The sequence below is a fragment of the Homo sapiens genome, chromosome 22 (assembly GCF_000001405.40).
Source record: "Homo sapiens chromosome 22, GRCh38.p14 Primary Assembly".
NCBI lineage: Eukaryota > Metazoa > Chordata > Mammalia > Primates > Hominidae > Homo > Homo sapiens.
The window spans coordinates 32,353,365-32,373,114 of NC_000022.11; the positions used below are offsets into that span (position 1 = coordinate 32,353,365).

The 19,750-nt window shown below is 44.8% G+C and overlaps 2 protein-coding genes and 1 long non-coding RNA gene across 8 annotated transcripts in view; 1 reads left to right on the forward strand and 2 right to left on the reverse strand.

Annotated features, from left to right (window-relative positions):
* Window positions 1-1,699, reverse strand: part of SLC5A4 (solute carrier family 5 member 4) — a 136,600-nt gene extending 134,901 nt beyond the window's left edge. For all 3 annotated transcript variants that reach the window (XM_017028920.2, XM_006724308.4, XM_011530342.3), the window contains exon 1: window positions 1,483-1,699. The gene's annotated coding sequence lies outside the window, so the exon portion shown is untranslated. The remainder of the gene's footprint in view (window positions 1-1,482) is intronic.
* Window positions 1,521-7,797, forward strand: RFPL3 (ret finger protein like 3). 2 transcript variants are annotated; one of them, NM_006604.2, is made up of 3 exons: window positions 1,521-1,533; window positions 4,790-5,080; window positions 6,888-7,797. In NM_006604.2, the coding sequence occupies exons 2-3, from the start codon at window positions 4,795-4,797 to the stop codon at window positions 7,466-7,468; spliced, it is 867 nt and encodes a 288-aa protein (NP_006595.1). In that variant the 5' UTR covers window positions 1,521-1,533; window positions 4,790-4,794; the 3' UTR covers window positions 7,469-7,797. The 2 variants fall into 2 exon arrangements, with proteins under 2 accessions (NP_006595.1, NP_001092005.1); NM_001098535.1 differs by lacking the exon at window positions 1,521-1,533 and having other exon boundaries at window positions 4,503-5,080.
* Window positions 6,542-17,900, reverse strand: RFPL3S (RFPL3 antisense). Of its 3 annotated transcripts, none has more exons than NR_104232.1 (5): window positions 17,834-17,900; window positions 17,535-17,577; window positions 15,133-15,203; window positions 14,326-14,350; window positions 6,542-7,475 (listed from the first exon to the last, which is right to left on the reverse strand). It is a non-coding gene; the product is annotated as an RFPL3 antisense (long non-coding RNA). The 3 variants fall into 3 exon arrangements; NR_002596.2 differs by lacking the exon at window positions 17,834-17,900 and adding an exon at window positions 9,608-9,694 and having other exon boundaries at window positions 17,535-17,712; NR_001450.3 differs by lacking the exon at window positions 17,834-17,900 and having other exon boundaries at window positions 17,535-17,712.
* Between the last annotated feature and the right edge of the window lie 1,850 nt (window positions 17,901-19,750).

Below are 19,750 nucleotides of genomic sequence, written 5' to 3' on the forward strand. Positions count from 1 at the left end.
GCCCGGGGGTCCCAGGCAGTTTCCGCAACACATAGAGGGCGCGGGCCTGGGAACCACGGCTGGTCTAGGTGACGGATTGTGCTCAGGATCCCCGCGGAAACGCTGTGCATCCGCCGCGCTCCAGCAGGAGGAGATGGCCCTCTAGAGTCTGGAGTCCGGGGAGACGAGGACCGCTCCTCTGACCACCCGTCACTGACACCACCAGCACCAGGGGGGCAGCGCAGCCCCCAACAGCACCCCTAACCCGCCGCCGGCAGTGTAGCCCCCAGATAGCGCCTCCAACACCTCACCCCCAACCACCGGCAGTGTAGCATCCAATGGCGACCCCAACCTGCCCTTGCTTCGGACACTGCAGCACCCAATGGCGCCCAGAACCCGCCCCCTGCCGCGGGCAGTGCAGCCCGGGATAGCGCCCCCAATCCGCTCCCTGCCGTACACAGTGTAGCCACGAATAGTGCCCCCAACCAGACCCCTGCTGGGGGCAGTAATGCCCTGATATGGCACCCAAACCGCCCCCCAACTGCGGGAAGTGCAACCCCGGATAGTGCCCCAACCTGCTCCCCACTGGGAGCAGCAACCCAGGGAGACGCCCCAACTCACTCCCTGCCTCCGGCAGTACAGCCACAGATAGCGCACCCAACCCACCCCCTGCGCGGGCAAGGTAGCCCCCGATAGCGCACCCAACCCGCCCCGCCGGAACCAATGTGGCCCCAGGTAGCACACCCACCAGCTCCCTGGCACGCAGTACAGACCTCTGATAGCACCCAACCCGCCCCCTCCCAAAACGGGCAGTGGATACGTCCCTCAATAGCGCCCCCAACCAGCCTCCCACCCCCTCTACACGGGCAGTCTGGCCCCCAGTAGCACTCCCAATAAATCCTGCTATCTCTGTCTCAGTGTAGGCCCCAGAAAGCGCCCTCAACACCCCCCTCCCTGCTGCCAACAGTGTAGCACCCTGTAATGAGCCTAACCCGTCCCCCACCACAGCACTGCAGCCCCAGATAGTGCTGCCAACCTGCTCCCTGCTGTGGGCAGTGCAGCTATGGATAATGCCCCCAGCCAGCTTCTAGACGCAGGCAATGATGCCCTGGATATAACACGTCCCGCCCACCGCAGGCAGAGTAGCACCCGATAGCGCCCCCAACCCGTGCCTGACAAGGGCAATGCAACACCCGATAGTTCTTCCAACTCGCCCGCCGGCCACGGCCACTGCATCCCCAGATAGTGCCCCCAGAACTCCCCACTGCCGCTAGCAGTACAGCTTGGGATAGTGCTCCAACCCACCCCCAGCCACGGGCAGCGCACACCCGATAGCACCCCCAACCCACTCCCCTCTGTGGGCAGTGAGGCCCCAGATACCACATCCAACCAGCCTCCTAACACGGGCAGTAACGCCCTGGATAGGGCCTCCAACCCACCCCACCACGCCACGCCACAGGCAGTACGGCCTGGGATGGCGAACTTTTCCCACCACCATTTTACCATTCTGGCTGCGCTCTAGTCTCCCTGGCCCGCACCAACGGCAGCAGCGAGGTGAGCCACGGCAGGCTCCAGCCTCCACTGTGCTAATGAAGTTGCTCCTCCTCCTTTTCCTCTAAGCTTCCAGACTCCAGTGTGCTCAGGAAGTGACTCGTTTTCTTTTTCCTCTAAGCCAGTACTAACCAGCTACACAAGCTGACGCAGGAGAGCTTGGAATGACAAAACTCCCCCCACTTGGCATCATTTATATATGAGAATTTATGCAAATGAAGTTCCTGGGCTACATGTTCTGATTGGATGAGGAAAACCTCTAGGCCTACTCTGATTGGACTTTGTTATCATGTTCTGATTGGTTGTCCTAAGACTTGCTCTCATCCAATCAGAACATGCAAATAAAGCCCAATCAGAGTAGATCTAGAGGTTTTTCTTCTCATCCAATCAGAATATGTAGTCCAAGAACCTCATTTGCATAACCTCGGTAAGGGGAAGTCTCAGTTCCAGGCTCTTCTAGGCTATGTTCTCTGTCTCCACACCTTCCTCTCAGACAGCAGCTGGAGCCCCAGAACCTGGGAGCCTCACAGAGAAAGTCCTGATGTGGGACCTGGTTTTCCACCCGAGACCCAGGATCCAATAAAGAAGTGTTTCCATAAATGATGCATCCTCCAAAGAAGGCCAGTGACTTTCTGTGCCAAGTACCTGACAGAATTGCCATTTCCTAGAGCTGCCAGGCAGCCCTAGGTGCACAGGTCACCTGTGCATGTGTCAGAGACCAAATCCCATCAATATTGAGGCCTTGGTTAAGACAGGTACTTGCTTTTAGTCGTGAAAAGATGCCTGGCTTTGGCAGGAGAATCGCTTGAACCTGGGAGGCAGAGGTTGCAGTGAGCCAAGATTGTGCCACTACACTCCAGCCTGGTGACACAGCGAGACTTTGTCTCAAAAAAAAAAAAAAAAAAAGAAAGAAAAGAAAAGATGGCTGGCTTCAACACTGAGAAAACCAACTCTCCTTGAGCAAATGCTTTGCATATTCTCATAGAAATAAGGGAACACCTATTACCCTCCTTGCACTGCTTCCTGCACAGCTGGGATACTACCTTTCACAAGCATCCTGAGCCACCTGCTGGCCTTTTGTGTGTGTTTCCTTCCTGGCTTCCTCCCATTTTTTTTTCCATCTCTGAACCTGCTGTAAGGTGAAGAATTGAGGCGGGCCCCAAATGTAAGACCTCATGAATTTGACGATGCAACAGTGTCCTGGACAGCCTGGCTCTCAGGGCTGGGGAGCTGGGCAGAGAGAAAAGAGGGCATTCCAGGGGCCAGGGAGCTCCAGGCCCAGAGTAGGATTTCAAGGCTAAAGAAACAGAGGCTGTGGGTGGGTAGAGGGTCTTGACTAGGGTAGGGACAGAGGGTGCGTCTTAAGGCTCAGCTAGGGACAGCTTCATCCAGGAAGTAGTCAGCAATTGGGGGCCAAGCTGCAAGGAGGAAGAGGTGGGGAGAGAGAATGGAGAGAGAGGTGTTCAGTGATCAAATGCCTGGCCTGGCCTGTTTCCTCAGGAGACACCCCTGGGAGTCTGGGAGCCTCTCCCCCGGGCTGCTATCCAACAGGGTGCAAGTAATCCCCCCTTACACACACTAAGAACCCAGGGTGAGTGTCAAATTATATGTTAGCTAAGAAATGAAGAGAGGGAGCAGGATTTCTGGTTGACGGTGAGGATATTTATTAAGGGTTTACTGGTACAAGGAGAGGGGCTGGATGATTTGGGGTGGGAGGGGATCTCTGTTCTGGGATCCTGCAGCTCCAGGCCCCCATGGGTGGGGTGAGGGTCAGGGACCTAAGAACATTCTTCAGGGGCCACTGTCTTCTCCACAGTGCTCTCTTGTGTGTGACCTTACAGCTGTAGCTGCTGCAGGACCTCCACTGGTCGGGTGTCAGGCTCAGGTCGCTTCTGGCTGTGTGCTTGTTGCTCTGTTTGGAGGTCTTGGTGACTTCCGTACCCTGGGTGACAGGGGTGCTGTTTGCCTTCCAGGCCACCGTCACAGCTCCCGGGTAGAAGCCACTCATGAGACACAGCAGTGTGGCCTTTTGGCTTGGAGCTCCTCAGAGGAGGACGGGAACAGAGTGACCAAGGGGGTGGCCTTGGGCTGGCCTGTGGGTGGGCGAGCGGCAGGAGGTCAGCATCCTGTTGTGTACCTGGGAGCCCCCTGACCTCAGTGTATGAAGAGGGGTCAGGCCCCCTCAGTGCCAGTGTAGGACCCCTCAGACATGGTCCACAGTGTCTCAGAAGGGTGTGACATGAGGTTCCTAAAACAACTCTCTGTCATTCAGGGAACCTCCGAGCCTGTCCCCTGCCCACCAGTGGTGGCAGTTAATTTGGTATTCATTTCCAAGGCTGGAGAAGGATGTAATTTTTTTTCTTTTCTTTTCTTTTGGTGAGACAGGGTCTTACTGTGTTGTCCAGGTTGGAGTGACCTGGCGTGGTCTCTGCTCACTGCTAATTTTTGTATTGTTTGTAGAGATGAGGTCTTCCTGTGTTGTCCAGACTCGTCTCAAATTCCTGGGCTCAAGGGATCTTCCTGCCTTGGCCTCGCAAAGTGCTGGGATTACAGATGTGAGCTACTGCATCCAGCCCCCTTTTTTTTTTTTGAGATGGTGTCTCACTCTGTTGCCCAGGCCGGAGTGCAATGGCACAATCTTGGCTCAGTGCAACTTCTGCCTCCCAGGTTCAAGCGATTCTCCTGCCAAAGCCTCCCAAGTATCTGGGATTACAGGCGTGTGCCACCACGCCTGGCTAATTCTTTTGTATTTTCAGTAGAGATGGGGTTTCACCCATCAGGCTGGTCTCGAACTTTTGATGACCTCAGATGATCCACCCACCTTGGCCTCCCGAAGTGCTGGGATTACAGGCATGAGCCATCGTGCCCAGCCTCTCAGCTCCTAATTCTTATGTTCATCAATCAGTCTCTTGCTGGGGTTCCCCTAGGAGGTGGTGAAATGACCCCAGCTCGCTGTTCCTCACATGGGTGCTGCCACGTCACTGGCTCAGGCTCAGCTGCTGGGTCACCAGGAGAATGGACCCTTCCTCCACCTCAGCTCAGAGCACAGTGATGATTCGTGACTTTCCCAATAGAACTTCAAATCTCTGAGGACGGGGGGTGGGGGGATGTGCTTGAGTGTTTGTACTCATGGTCTTGTTCTCGGAGTGACAAAGCTGGAACACAATACCTCTATGCATGAAAAGGTTGTCACTTGTCACAACTAACAGGCTTTCACCTCAAGGAAATTTTCTTCCCTTGTGTACTTTTCCCCTGGCAGTGGACATGGCTGCACTCTTCCAAGAAGCAAGCAGCTGTCCCGTCTGCTCAGACTATCTGGAAAAACCAATGTCCCTGGAGTGTGGATGCACCGTCTGCCTCAAGTGCATCAATTCGCTGCAGAAGGAGCCCCATGGGGAGGATCTGCTTTGCTGTTGCTGTTCCATGGTCTCTCAGAGGAACAAAATCAGGCCCAATCGGCAGCTAGAGAGGCTGGTTTCCCACATCAAGGAACTGGAGCCCAAGCTGAAGAAGATTCTACAGATGAACCCAAGGATGCGGAAGTTCCAAGGTAAGGAATCTGTATACCCTGCCCCCTTCCCAAGACCAGACCAGGAAAAATCATCTGTGCAGTTGGCCCCTCATTCCACATGGGGATTAGCTGCTGTCTGGCACCTAAAATTGAGATGCTTCATCATCACATTCTCAGCCCTGACAACACATAGAATCACCTGGTGATGTCAAAAACAAAAACAAACAAAAACCCGATGTCTATGTCATGGGTTAGACAAGGGATTCTCTAAACTTAGTGTGCTCAGATTACCTGGGGATCTTGTTAAAATGCAGATGCTGAACTGGGAAGTCTCAGGATTGATCCCGCTGGCTTGGGGACTTTGCTGAGTAGCAAAAACATAGAGCAACTGAATTTGAATTTCTCTCTAGCAAAGGTTCCCATGAATCTGACATTAAGATGGGCCTGGTATTTCTAATGCACAGTGAATATTGGCACCCATTGTACCAAACAACCTCACCCCAGGGTTGAGAAGAGTTGGGAATGGAGCACCTATGGTGTTTGTTTCTGTGAGTGGGGAGAGTTGCAGATATTGGTCTCCTCATCCATGCGCCATGGGCTCCAACAGTGGTCCTGGCTACAGAAAATACTATCACTCTCCATAACTCTGGGGAAAAGGGACATTTAAATGAAAAGGTTATGGTCAGCCTGGGCAAAGAATTACACCTATAAATGGTGGTGGGCCCCTATAATGTCCCTGACACTGGTAGCTTCTGCCCTGACACCCATGATCTCTACTCATCCATCTACCCATACCTGACTGTCTCTCTGCTGAACTATGGAGGACAGAGATTCACCCTGTCCAAGTCATGTTTGGAACCCTCTTCCTCCTTCCTTGTCCATGTCCATTCCCTAATTCACCATTAAATAGCAATCAATCCCTAGTCTTGACTAGGGTAGTCTTACTGTGATCTATAAAATCTATATTAGTGATCATATCAGTTTTTTGACTTGAAGGATAATATATTTTGTAGATTTTTTTTTTTCAGAATGTTCTGGACAATTAATTTTCTCTAGGCCAGATCACACTGCCTCCTCCATGAGAATTGGCGGCTTCACCTGTCAGTCACATACCCAATGCCTTAAATTATTGACCTTTGTATTTTCTGCCCTTATTCTCTACAATCAGTCAGTTATGACAGACAACTTTCAAATACCTTTCTCTTGGCTCCAAAATTTACCATTGTTTTGCTTAAGGTCTCACCTTCCATGTAGGATAGAAAACATTCTTTCATCTAAAAGGTCCCCCTCCTCCACCTGGCCTTAGAGCCTCCTAATGTCCAGGACCAGCATCTCTGTCATCACATTGTCAGCTGCAGAGATACCCTATCTGCTGTCAGAACTGTGCACAATTAATTTGTTTACAAACATGGAAAACAAAAGCCTGGAATCATGCTCTATATACTGAATTGGAGCAATAAAATGTGGAAGCAGAAACATATTTAATATTGACCACTTGCATTGTCTTAATTATCATTTATTTGTTCACACATCAAGGTGGTAGAAAGGGGGGCATGGTGTCTGCCTTCAGAGACCCTCCACTCTAAATGAAGAAAAGTTCAGTGAAGCAAACACGTGACGTAAAGTAAAATAAGAATTGCTACTGTGAATAAGAGTCACGTATTGCCACAAAGCATACCTATGAAAATTTGAAATAGGGAAGTTTCCTCATGAAAAGTTTTGATTTTGGAGGAAGAAACAGAATTAAAGAAACTAAAGTCAGGAGATATTTGGGCCTTTGAAGTAGAAGAGAGGCATGGGGTTGGCTTCTGTCCACTTGCTGAGCAACTTGTTTTCCTTTTCACAGTGGATATGACCTTGGATGCCGACACAGCCAACAACTTCCTCCTCATTTCTGACGACCTCAGGAGCGTCCGAAGTGGGCTCATCACACAGAATCGGCAAGACCTTGCCGAGAGATTTGACGTGTCCGTTTGCATCCTGGGCTCCCCTCGCTTTACCTGTGGCCGCCACTACTGGGAGGTGGACGTGGGAACAAGCACAGAATGGGACCTGGGAGTCTGCAGAGAATCTGTTCACTGCAAAGGGAAGATCCAGCTGACCACAGAGCTTGGATTCTGGACTGTGAGTTTGAGGGATGGAAGCCGCCTCTCTGCCAGCACGGTGCCGCTGACTTTCCTCTTAGTAGACCGCAAGTTACAGCGAGTGGGGATTTTTCTGGATATGGGCATGCAGAACGTTTCCTTTTTTGATGCTGAAAGTGGTTCCCATGTCTATACATTCAGGAGCGTCTCTGCTGAGGAGCCACTGCGCCCATTTTTGGCTCCTTCAATTCCACCTAATGGTGATCAAGGTGTCTTGAGCATCTGTCCTTTGATGAACTCAGGCACTACTGATGCTCCAGTCCGTCCTGGGGAGGCCAAATAAGCCGCCACTGCAAAAAAAAACAGGGTCAGAAAATTACTTGGGTGGGTAGACTTAGGAATTTTCTACTTGGTAAAAGCATTATACAGTCATAGGAGAAAGATATGGGACATTTCTATAATCTATATTCTAATTTGATTCGATTATTGAGTCGTAAGTATTAATTATTGCCACCATCCAACTCATTGAGTCTTATGGTTCACATCTTGTTTCCTATAGAAATGTTCTGTATTCTCGGATCAATTTCCAAATGCTTTACTTTTTCATTTCTGTAAGTTCAAATCAATGTTTAAATTATAGAAGTTATGAGGTAAATAAACATTTGGATATCACCTAATGCATCATGTGATTTTCTAAATGATAGGAGTGCAATAGATTTTATTCATAGTAAAAACATGAGTGTGTGTGTATGTGTGTGCGTGTGTGGGTGTGTGTGTATTTGAACGGAGAGCTGGATAAATGCCTATGTCCTATCCAGAACTGAAAAGTTATCGCCATCATTGCTCAGTGTGGGTAACATTTTCCTGGATGTGTGTTCCTGCATTAATGAAAATTCCCCCCAATTAGTTATTGCAATTATTAATTGTAATTGCAATAAAATTAATAAATTCATTTTATTAATTTATTAAATTAATAAATTAATTAATAATTAAATCTTTATGCAGAGATTAATAAATATGCAGGCTAACAAAGCAAAAAAAGATAACACACATTACTAATATCAGAAATAAAAGAGGGGCCATATCTACCAAACTGTTGGTCATTAAAAGGATAATCAAGGACTATTATGAATGACTCTATTCCCACAGTTTGATAACTAGGTGAAATGTATCAATTCCTTGAGAGACATAATCTTCTCAAGGTCACACTAGGAACACAGACAATCTGAACAAGCCTCTGCCTATTAAGTGAATTAACATTAAGAACATTCCAAAAAAGACAACACCAGAACCAAATGATTTCTCTTACGAAATCCACCAAATTCTTACGAATCCCAACATATTTTCACAATATAATCCGAAAATTGCGCTCTTAGGTACGTACTCAGTTGAGATGAAAAGTTACGTCCACACAAAGCCTGCACAGGAATGTTTACAGCAGCTTTATCTATAACCACCCAAACTAGAAGCGAGCAAGATGTTTAAGAGGTGAATGAAAAAACAACCATCTATAAAACACAATATTATTCTGTGATTTAAAGGAGTTCTCCATCAAAGCATAGAAAAGACAATGGCATGTATCAGAAAGACTGTGGGGGCATGCATTCATGTGGATGAGACCACACAGGCAGCAGAGCAGGGTGACTTTAAGTATATTGATGAGTGAAGTAAGTTCAGCTGAAAAAGCTACATAATATTGGGCTGGTGCAAAAGTAATTGTGGTTTTTGCCAGTTGAAGAATGGAAAAACCGCAATTACTTTGCACCAATCTAATATATGACTCCAACTGTATGACATTCTGGAAAAGGCAAAACAAAGGGGATGGTAAAAATACCAATAGTTGGCAAGGTTTCTGGAGAAAGAGGACAGAGATTCATAAGTAAAGAAGAGGGAATTTTTGGAGCGGTGAGAGTATTCCTTACGAGATCGAAATGGTAAACATAACAGTAAATATTTCAAAATTCATAGAAATGTGTAACAGGAAAAAGAACACTATGAGAATGACAGACTTTAGGTACTAATGTATCAATATTTGCCCATTACTTTTAGCAAATATAACACAGTAATGTAAGATATGAATATTAGGTGGAATTATAAGGTAGGGTGAGAGAATAGAATGATGTGGGAACTTTGTGTATTACATGCTAGATTTTTATGTCAATCTAAAACTCCCTTGGTTAAACATTCAGTTTTAAAATTATAGCTCCACTGTTTCAGGGAGATCACAATAATGTTCAACAATTGAGTAACGTCTAGAGATTAGTTTGAAAGATTGTCTTACTATTAAATGTGAATCAAAATTGACTTTTAAATGTATATTTAATTTTGTGATTTCAGCAATACCTCTTGATTAGGCAAATAAAAATTTTGGCACATTTAAACATATGGCTTAACCTCCTCTATAGCTTCTTCTAACATATGGGACACTGAATACAATCCACAATTGTTATTCTTAAATCAACTTAATAAATTTCCACGGTACCTTCATGTGAGTGCACCCGGTGGTTTGCCCAGAGTCCAGGTTGTGTCATGTGCCTCTTGGTGTAGAGGCTATATCTTCTTAAAATTTCTATCAGAGAAGAGCCTGGTTAATCTTTTTGCAATGCAGAGAACTAATGACATGTTACTGACAGAAGACCAGAGGGAGAATTGTGATAATTGGTTCTAACTTCTGATCCCATTGTTTACTGGCTTCCAAGCAGAGCCATCTGAATCAAAGTTAGGTCTCAGGAAGATCGTGGAGTTCAGTGAGCACTTTATACATGGATTAGAAAGACTGCGTGGGCGATGGCTTCACATAGGTGAGACGATACAGAAAGGCAGAGGGCTGGTGTAGTGAGGGACCTGCACCCCAATCCCACTAGAGCCACGTAGACCTGGGAAGGTCATGTAATCCCTCGGCCCTCAGATCTCTGCGCTGTCATGTTAAACTTTTCATAGGGCCTACTTATTAATCTCACAGTATGGGGCTAGAAAAATCACTAAATGCAGGAGAATATTAAGAAAGAGAATCAGAACTTCAGTAGTGATGTGTAAGGGTTTACTAAATGCCAGAAGGAATAAGCCGGAGACTTAGTAGTGGCTGAACACAGAGAGGCTGCTTGGGTGGCTCCAGGCCAGTGGAGGGTGGTTCCCTGTTCATCTTTTACGTGGGTGTGATGCCTTACAACTTCTGGAGGACATCTCCTATTATCTCCGGGACTCCCCACATCAGCCCGGCAGGGTGGGCACAGGAGGGGCTGAGTATCACTTAGAGATGGTGAGAGATTTGCAGAATCCCATTCTAATGAGTGAAGGATCTGGGGGTTGGAATAAATTTGGTTCCCTAGAGACAGAGATTCCTGAACAACTGAGACCTCTATATCGTGCCCTGGACCACTGATCAAAGGGACCCTTTCACTCTCTTTCTCCAATACTTTTATTCCCAAGGTGTGTGGAAAGACAGAGTTCGTGCTCGGGAAGAGTCGCCTGAGATGAAGACAGGTCCCTAATTATAAAGCATTCTTTTCCTCTGCCTTTCAAATCTTCCACCCCAAGTATGACACAGTTTCCTTTAAAGGATGTCACCTGTGGGACCTTGGGAAGCACAAATGCGTGGCCTTCCTCCCCCACTCCCTTCACCCTGTCAGCTGCCTCTCAGTAACTGTTTCCTCCAGTGATCACAGTGAGCGACCAGTGTCTGCCTGTCTCCAAGACTGCTCAGGCCTTAGAACAATGCAAAACATCTATCACAAGATGCTTCTGCAAGTAACAACTTCTCTCCCACTTATCAAACCTGAATAAGTAGCTAATGCGAATTAACTGAAAAAGAGGCCATCTGGGCTGGTGCTTTGGTGGTTTAATGAATTTAGTCTGCCACCCCCACTTTCTCCTTGACTGCTGATCTGAGCCACCTGGAAAAAGGTGTGGCTAAGAATGGGCAGCAGGTGCACCAGCAGGGAGTGTACACCTTATCAGCTCATTCTTTCCCCATCAAAGATCACTTTCTATTTTACAAACTCCACATCCATTTCTTGACCTTGCCGTGGCAGGGGACAGTCCTATCTCCTGTCAGAAAGACCCCTCCGGCCAGGCGCAGTGGCTCATGCCTGTAATTCCAGCACTTTGGGAGGCCGAGGTGGGCGGATCATGAGGTCAGGAGACCGAGACCATCCTGGCTAACATGGTGAAACCCCGTCTCTTCTAAAAATACAAAAATTTAGCCGGGCATGGTGGCGGGCGCCTGTAGTCCCAGCTACTCGGGAGGCTGAGGCAGGAGAATGGCGTGAACCCAGGGGGTGGAGCTTGCAGTGAGCCGAGATCGCGCCACTGCACTCCAGTCTGGGAGACAGAGCAAGACTCTGTCTCAAAAAAAAAAAAAAACAAAAAACCCTCCATAGCCACAGCCTGGAAACCTCTGCCCCAGGACTCTGCCCCAGGACTCTCATTCAAGGTTCACTCTGATCCCCCTTTCCCTCTGACTCCAGATGTCCCTTCCATTAACCCAATGGCTCTGCCTCTTCTCCCAATCCTTCACCAGTGAAAATGCCACTGATTCTCTCTCGTGAGCCCTCTGAAAGTCTTCTCATAAAATACCACTCTTCATCCTATTTTTTTAAGTCCACCTCTAGATCACTAACATTTGTTTTCAGATTTTGGGTTCCACATTCAGAGGAATGTTTCTGTCCTTCCACTTTCCAGTCAAGTCTATTATTGCAGGAGTGGAATCAAGATTCTCCTAAAATGATAAAGCACTATGGCTGTGTTTGCTGTGTATTCTCTGGAAGTGTGTGCCCAGGATTGCCAGTCTTTATTATTTGGTAGAAATAAAAGTAAGTCACATGGTCCTGATATTTACATTTTGAGTTTTAAAAATTTTTATATTGTTTTCATCAAAACTCACTTTAGATATTAATATGTTCATCTTGGTATTTTCTTCTAAATGCTATAAACCTGTGTTTCCCATTATTTGTTTCTCTTAGTGAGCTATATCCTTCTGTGAACCCCTGCTTGCTCTCAGAGGGATCCTAAATACAGAAATGGAGATTTGCATTACTGTTTGGAAAGATCTCATTTTCCGTTCTCAGAGCCTCCTATGTGCCTTAGAGACCACCGTGTCCCTGCTTTAACCCTATGTAATAGAAACAAATAAGATCTTTATTCTCAGAAAATTCAACAGTCTTCAGAGGAACCCACATTCTTACACAACTCTGTCATCCAGGTCTCAGGCAAAGCCCTCATAACTTGGCAAAATTTAAGGTATCACAACTTTACAAGCTTCTATTTGTTATTATAAAGATGTGCCCACTTTTAGTAGAGATTTTAGCAACAGTTGCCTAGTTAATAAAACATAGAAAGTTCTAGAAGAAAGCACATAAAGAACATACTATGTAAAATTTGACCTAAAAATGACCAATCTCACAGGGACACACAGAGCTGAACAACACACACGGGGCTATCGGATGGGGGACGGTGGGAGGAGGGAGGATCAGGAAAAATAACTAATGGGCGCTAGGCTTAAAACCCAGGTGACAAGATAATCTGCACAAGAAATCCCCATGACACAAGTTGACCTATGTAACAAACCTGCACATGCACCCCTGAACTTAACAGTTAAAAAAACTGGTGGGACAAAATGAGATACCATTTCACACCAGTCAGAACGGCTATTACTAAAAAGTCAAAAAACAGCAGATACTGGCAAAGTTGCAGAGAAAAGGGAGCACTTATATACTCTTAGAGACTGTGTAAATTAGTTCAACCATTGTGGAAAGTAGTGTGGTGATTCCTCAAAGAGCTAAAAACAGAAATGTCATTCAACCCAGCCATCCCATTACTGGTTATATGCCCAAAGAAATATAAATCATTGTACCCTAAAGACATCCACACATATGTTCACAGCAGCGCTATTCATAATAGCAAAGACCCAAATGCCCATCAATGACATACTGGATAAAGAAAATGTGGTACATATACACCATGGAATACTATGCAGCCATAAAAGAGAATGAGATGATGTCCTTTGCAGGAACATGGATGGAGCTGGGCGACAGAGTGAGCCTCCATCTCAAAAAAAAAAAAAAAAAAAATTGTGCCGGGCGCGGTGGCTCATGCTTGTAATCCCAGCACTTTGGGAAGCCAAGGCAGGTGGATCATGAGGTCAGGAGATCGAGACCATCCTGGCTAACACGGTGAAACCCCATCTCTACTAAAAATACAAAAAATTAGCCGGGCATGGTGGTGGGCGCCTGTAGTCCCAGCTACTTGGGAAGCTGAGGCAGAAGAATGGTGTGAACCCAGGAGGCGGAGCTTGCAGTGAGCCGAGATCGTGCCACTGCACTCCAGCTTGGGCAACAGAGCAAGACTCCGTCTCAAAAAATAAATAAATAAAAAATAAAATAAAAGTTAAAAAATAAATGACCCGTCTTATTGACTAACCTCACCACGGTCTTATGGATTCAATTAACCTGTTCAATTCTTTTTTGTGTTTACTCCATCAACTTCCTGTGTAACTGCACTCCACAAGGCACATAACCACACTCCACAAGGCACATAAAACCACTGAAGAGAGGAGGCAAATGAGGTCTTTTATCCTCCCCTTCAATTGTCTTACAAAGCTCATGCCTGAGTTTAGAGCATAAGTCATCAGTTTAGTCATAAGTCTTATAACTTCCCAAATGAATGCTTTAACTGCAGCTACAGTACATATCATGTGTTGAGTAGCACTTCTCATGTGCTTTTAAGCAACTCTTTCAATATTGAGAGACAAGATTCAATACTAGGGAAATATTCTATGGTATTACATCATTAATTTTATGTTACAGAGACCATATATTGAAAATGTATAAATAATGAAGTCCAGTCTTACTTTCAATACTGTGTGTAAGTTCATTGAGTGTGCAGACCCCTTAAGCTTGCACTCACCTGTGTGTTAGACACACATTCACAAACACATCACACAGACCTACACATAGACACCTTCTGCCTTGGTGCACACAAATCCACCCCACCTAAAGTGAATATGCCTGTTTCCAGGGATTGCACATAGGTGACAAGAGTTTGTCACCTGAAAAACCAGTTTTAGTTCACCCCAAATTCTCGTTCTTTCCAGGTGTCTTGGATCATGGAGATGGTCTAGATGAAAGTCAGCAATTAAGTTCCACATTTCTTATACATACACTTTTTTTTTTTACACCTGGTGAATGATTCCAGAATACATACCATTTACTGTGTTCCTTGGGGTCACCTGCAATTAGAAGAAAGAAAACACTCTGAGGATGAGATCATACTGTGGGCTGTTTGCACAGGTCTTTCGTTCTCTTAGGGGCTCTTGGTAACCAAGATGGGAAAGAATGTTTAAGTCTAAAGCCCCAACATCTAGAGTAGAGTTCATCTGTAGAAAGCACAATAGCTTTTGTTGAAAAGTATCTTTGTTGGCCGTGCTCAGTGGCTCACGCCTGTAATCCCAGCACTTTGGCAAGCCGAGGGAGGTAGATCACGAGGTCAGGAGATCGAGACCATCCTGGCTAACATGGTGAAACCCTGTCTCTATTAAAAATACAAAAAAAAAAAAAAATTAGCCAGATGTGGTGGCGGGCACCTGTAGTCCCAGCTACTCAGGAGGCTGAGACAGGAGAATGGCGTGAACCCGGGAGGCGGAGCTTGCAGTGAGCCGAGATCGTACCACTGCACTCCAGCCTGGGCTACGCAGCAAGACTCCGTCTCAAAAAAAAAAAAAAATCTTTGTCAAGACCATTTTGAAGTAGCAGTTACAAAATACTTAATCTAAAGTGGAAAGCTTGTTGCAGAGGAAAGTGTCCCCTAACATGCTGTGTGTGACCCAGCCCTGCCAATTCCAGATGTCCTCTTCAATCAGGTGTCAGTGGGTGGGGTGCACCCCTCCATCCCCAAGGAAACATCATCTAACACCTATAACGCACCTGATCATTTTTCTCTATCTGATATCAATTGAAAAATGAAATAACCAAGAAAATTACACACATGTTAGGCAAAGACAGGCTACTTTACCTTGGTAACAGAGAAGGGGTCCTCACTTGCCCACTCTTTGGAATCCACCTTCCATTGATCTTCTGGGGGAACTGAAAGGACACAACATGACTGTCAGTTCATTGGTGGTGACATGAACAAAGGGCTAGAACTTATGGATGTGGTTGGTTAACAAGCATGAATTGAGCTTCTCCTGGGCCATCCTCTTCTATGGACCAAGGAAGGCAGAGAGACGGGCAGAAAGGAAATGAGAAATAGAGCCTTTGTCTTTCCAGGTAATAGCAGATGAAAGCGACACGAAATACTCAAACTTCAAATGAGCAACTACTAAAATGCATGCTAGAATTCAACCACAGAGTCCTGTCACTCCCTCAGCCCATTTTAAAGTCCAGCAGAACTGCCACTGACTCCTTGATATTGACCAACTCCCTTTCAACCTCCACAGACCCCCATCTGCTGCTGTAACATTTAACATCTGGGGTATAGGATTCAGCCCCTGTTTATGTGTAAATTTTTATTGAGGAACTAAATTCAATATCAGGTACCAGGGCTAATTATATTTACTCAATTCTTTGTTATAAATCAATTATTAAAAACTGGAAAATACTGAAATACATGTTAAAATATCCACTGTAAATCAAAGATCTTCCTTTTAGTCTTCCCTTCCTATCCCTTGTGTTTGCAATCATTGCATGAGGGGGCCTAGTTTCAGCCAGGTCTAGTTCACCTAGCCATATGAGGTCTAGTTTCAGCCCAAGCTACCCACAGTGAAGGAAGGCAGAGTGAGGAGATGACCCCATGTGAGCACCGAGGCTCTTTAACCCAGCTGTACAGGAGAGTTGCCACAAGGGTGACACCTGAGGCTAATTGTGAAGTGGTATCCTGTGTTCTGTGATTCTTGTGCCTTAGCCACCTGAGTAGCTGGAATTACAGGTGTGCACCACCACGCCCAGCTAATTTTGCATTTTTAGTAGAGATGGGGTTTCTCCATGTTGGTCAGGCTGGTCTTGAACTCCTGACCTCAGGTGATCTGCCTGCCTCGGCCTCCCAAAGTGCTGGGATTACAGGCATGAGCCACCGCGCCCAGCTGCCTTATTTATTCTTAACACATGTAAGTGCCTCTAACTTTCGATTGTTTCCAAGTCATGGAACGAACAACCTCCTTAGAAAGAACTCTGAAGGATAGGTCAGGAGAACTAAGTCACACAATCCATCAGAAACAGTATTAACAGTTTTTCAAAGTTACACTTTATATGCAAACTTGTACAATTATCATCTTATTATTTTTAAATGTATCTTTACATATATGTATGTGACCTACGTGTTTCCTGGTGTGAGTAAATCTGTATGTTCTTGGTTAATAGTGTTTACCGATTCATTTCACTTCTCTATCTTTGTATGTTGAAATATGAACTACTCTCTGGATGAGAAAAAATGATTACACTTGATTATATTTACCTTTGGAAAGGTAAGTGGTTTGGGTGATTGACTATAATTGTTATCTCTATCATTTTGGATAAACCCCAATCATAAAAATAAGTGTGTTTTGTTTCACACACTGACACATAGACAATACACATTCTTACTTCTTTTCAAAAAGTTAATATGTGAATATAAATGACATATTCCAAATTTACTAAACTGAATACACATTTCATGAAAAAGGAGAGAGGAAAGACATACTAAAAACAGGCCAGGGCCTGGTGTGGTGGCTCACGCCTGTAACACCACCACTTTGGGAGGCCGAGGCAGGTGGATCACCTGAGGTCAGGAGTTCAAGACCAGCCTGGCCAACATGGTAAAACCTTGTCTCTACAAAAATACAAAAATTAGCCGGGCATGATGGTGGGTGCCTGAAATCCCAGCTATTCGGGAGGCTGAGGCGAGAGAATCATTTGAACCCGGGAGGCGGAGGTTGTAGTGAGCCGAGATCGCACCGTTGCACTCCAGCCTGGGCGACAGAGTGAGACTCCATCTCAAAAACAAACAAACAAACAAAAAAACAACAACAAAAGACAAAGATGGACACACTTCGTTGTGTTAAAAGCCTCAAAGACATCTGCATCATTCTAGCTTTGCTCCTAATTTTTAAAATTAATGATTTTAATAGGTTCTTAATTAGGTAAAAACTGCATTAAAACATACTTTGCCATATTTTTCCCAGAAGGATACCTAATTGGGTGGTTTGAGGGGTGCCAGATGTAACAGGAAATAAGACATGTCTTTTAAATAAAGGAAAAGCTCAAAGGCATCCTGCTTGATACTAGAATCAAATATATAAATTGAGGAATAAAACATAACCGGGAAACACATTTATAACTGCATATGAAAAATACAGAGGAGAATTTTTTAATAAAATATATTTTTAAATATTAACTAGTACATTTGAGAGGACAGCATTCAACAGGCCAATGTGAACATACCTTTAATGCAGGAACTCAGGTTCCCCATAAGAAAGACCAGAATCTGTGAAAATGACAGCAAGCATGTTCAACCTGCTATGAACTTTGAAAAACTCAGCACAGACAGTGGCAGTTAGGACCGAGGGCAAGATATACCCAATCACATAACCATGGTGATAGGAGCATCATCAACGTCTCAGGGTAAAGTCACAATGTGTATTGTGAGGTCCGCTTTCTGCTGCACCAACAAGAGTGCTTTCACACGCACAGGAGGGTCATTAAAGATTAGGCCTTTTACGGCAGGGAGTGGTGGCTCACACCTGTAATCCCAGCACTTTGGGAGGCCGAGGTGGGTGGATCACGAGGTCAGGAGATAGAGACCATCCTGGCTAACATGGTGAAACCCCGTCTGTACTAAAAACACAAAAAATTAGCCGGGCGTGGTGGCGGGAGCCCCCAGCTACTCGGGAGGCTGACGCAGGAGAATGGCGTGAACCCGGGAGGCGGAGCTTGCAGTGAGCCGACATAGCGCCACTGCACTCCAGCCTGGGCGACAGAGCGAGACTCCGTAAAAAAATAAAATAAAATAAAATAAAATAAAAGATTAGGCGTTTTACTTAAAAAAAAAACAACAAAACCCAAGCTCATTAATTACTATTCTGTGCTTATTAAAATAAGTTTTAGGAGGAGAAATTGTGTACCCCAAAATACACTCAATGGCAAGAATTTCAAACTGAGCAGGGGCAAAACCGATATGTTAGTAACAACCAGAAGTTCCATTCTCGATTCGAAATTCCATTGCCAAATATTTCTACCATTCCTGAGTCATCTAATATTTCTAGAACCAATAAGCAAACTGTTCAGAATTAAAGACAGCATAAATGGATATTGTTATAAAAGTCATGTTTCTTAAAAAGTGACATTTTTTAAAGTCACATTTTAAAAGTCATATTTCCCTAAAAAGTCATATTTCTACCATTCCTGAGTGATCTAATGTTTCTAGAAGCAATAAACTGTTCAGAATTAGAAAAAAGTGTTACTTGATATTATAAAAATCATATTTCTCTCACAATATAATTATGAAACTTATTTTTCCACTTATCTCTATATATTACTATGCACTTATTTATCTCCCAAACTTTGTGAATTCACAGAGGAATTTGTCTACCATTGTGTATGTAAACGGCTGGCCATTCACTGAGTATTTAAAGGAAAAAAAAATCACTATATTTTCACCAGTGCATCTTCTCGGTGGGGTGAACACTTTGGGTGAATACATATAATTTTTTATTTGAGACAGGGTCTCACTCTGTCACTCAGGCTGGAGTGCAGTGGCTTGATCATGGCTCACTGCAGCCTTGACCTCCCAGGCTCAGGTGATCCTCCCAACTCAGCCTCCCATGTAGCTGGGACTACAGGTTCTTGCCGCCATGCTCAGCTAATATTTTGTAGAGATGGGGTTTTTCCATGGTGCCCAGGCTGGTCTTCAACTCTTGGATTCAAGCAATCCACCCACCTCGACCTCCCAAAGTATTGGGATTAGAGGCGTGAACCACCATGCCCAGCCTAATACATATAATTAAAGTGTTTCTGAATGCAGAATTTTAGATAACTTTCAAAATGTATAACTACGTGTGTATTCTGGCTGATACATAACACCCAATTGCAAATACTTTTATGATATGCCCAAGAAAACAAGCTGTTGAAAGTGACCTGCCCTAAAATAAATAGAACAAATGAAAATTTTAGGGTTAAGATGAGAGAGTTGCTATGTTTCAAAGAGAATAGGTACCCTTCATGATATAAATATTACAGTACAAATGTCTATCATTGCTAAGTACAAATTTCTAGAACAAATAAATAGGTCACAAATGATGTATACAATCTGCATTAATATAGATGATGCTATATTTTGTCCAGTGATTATAAAACAGAGGGTGTAATGGGGTAGGTGCTGAAAGAATAGGTCATTCTGTGTTGTTATAAACAGAAAATTTCAATGGCTTCCAGATTGAACAAATATATGTATATACACAAATTATACACACACACACACGATACTATAGTTATATGTGTATGTGTTTGTATACTCAGAAATGCAGCAAACTAAAAAAAAACTTTAACAATCCCCACAGATTCATGCTTCTGAATGCTCAAATGGAGGAGAAAATTTAAAAAGAAGTGGAAAATATAGTGAGAAAATCTACTCATCCTATTGGAGGAGCTGATATCTATTT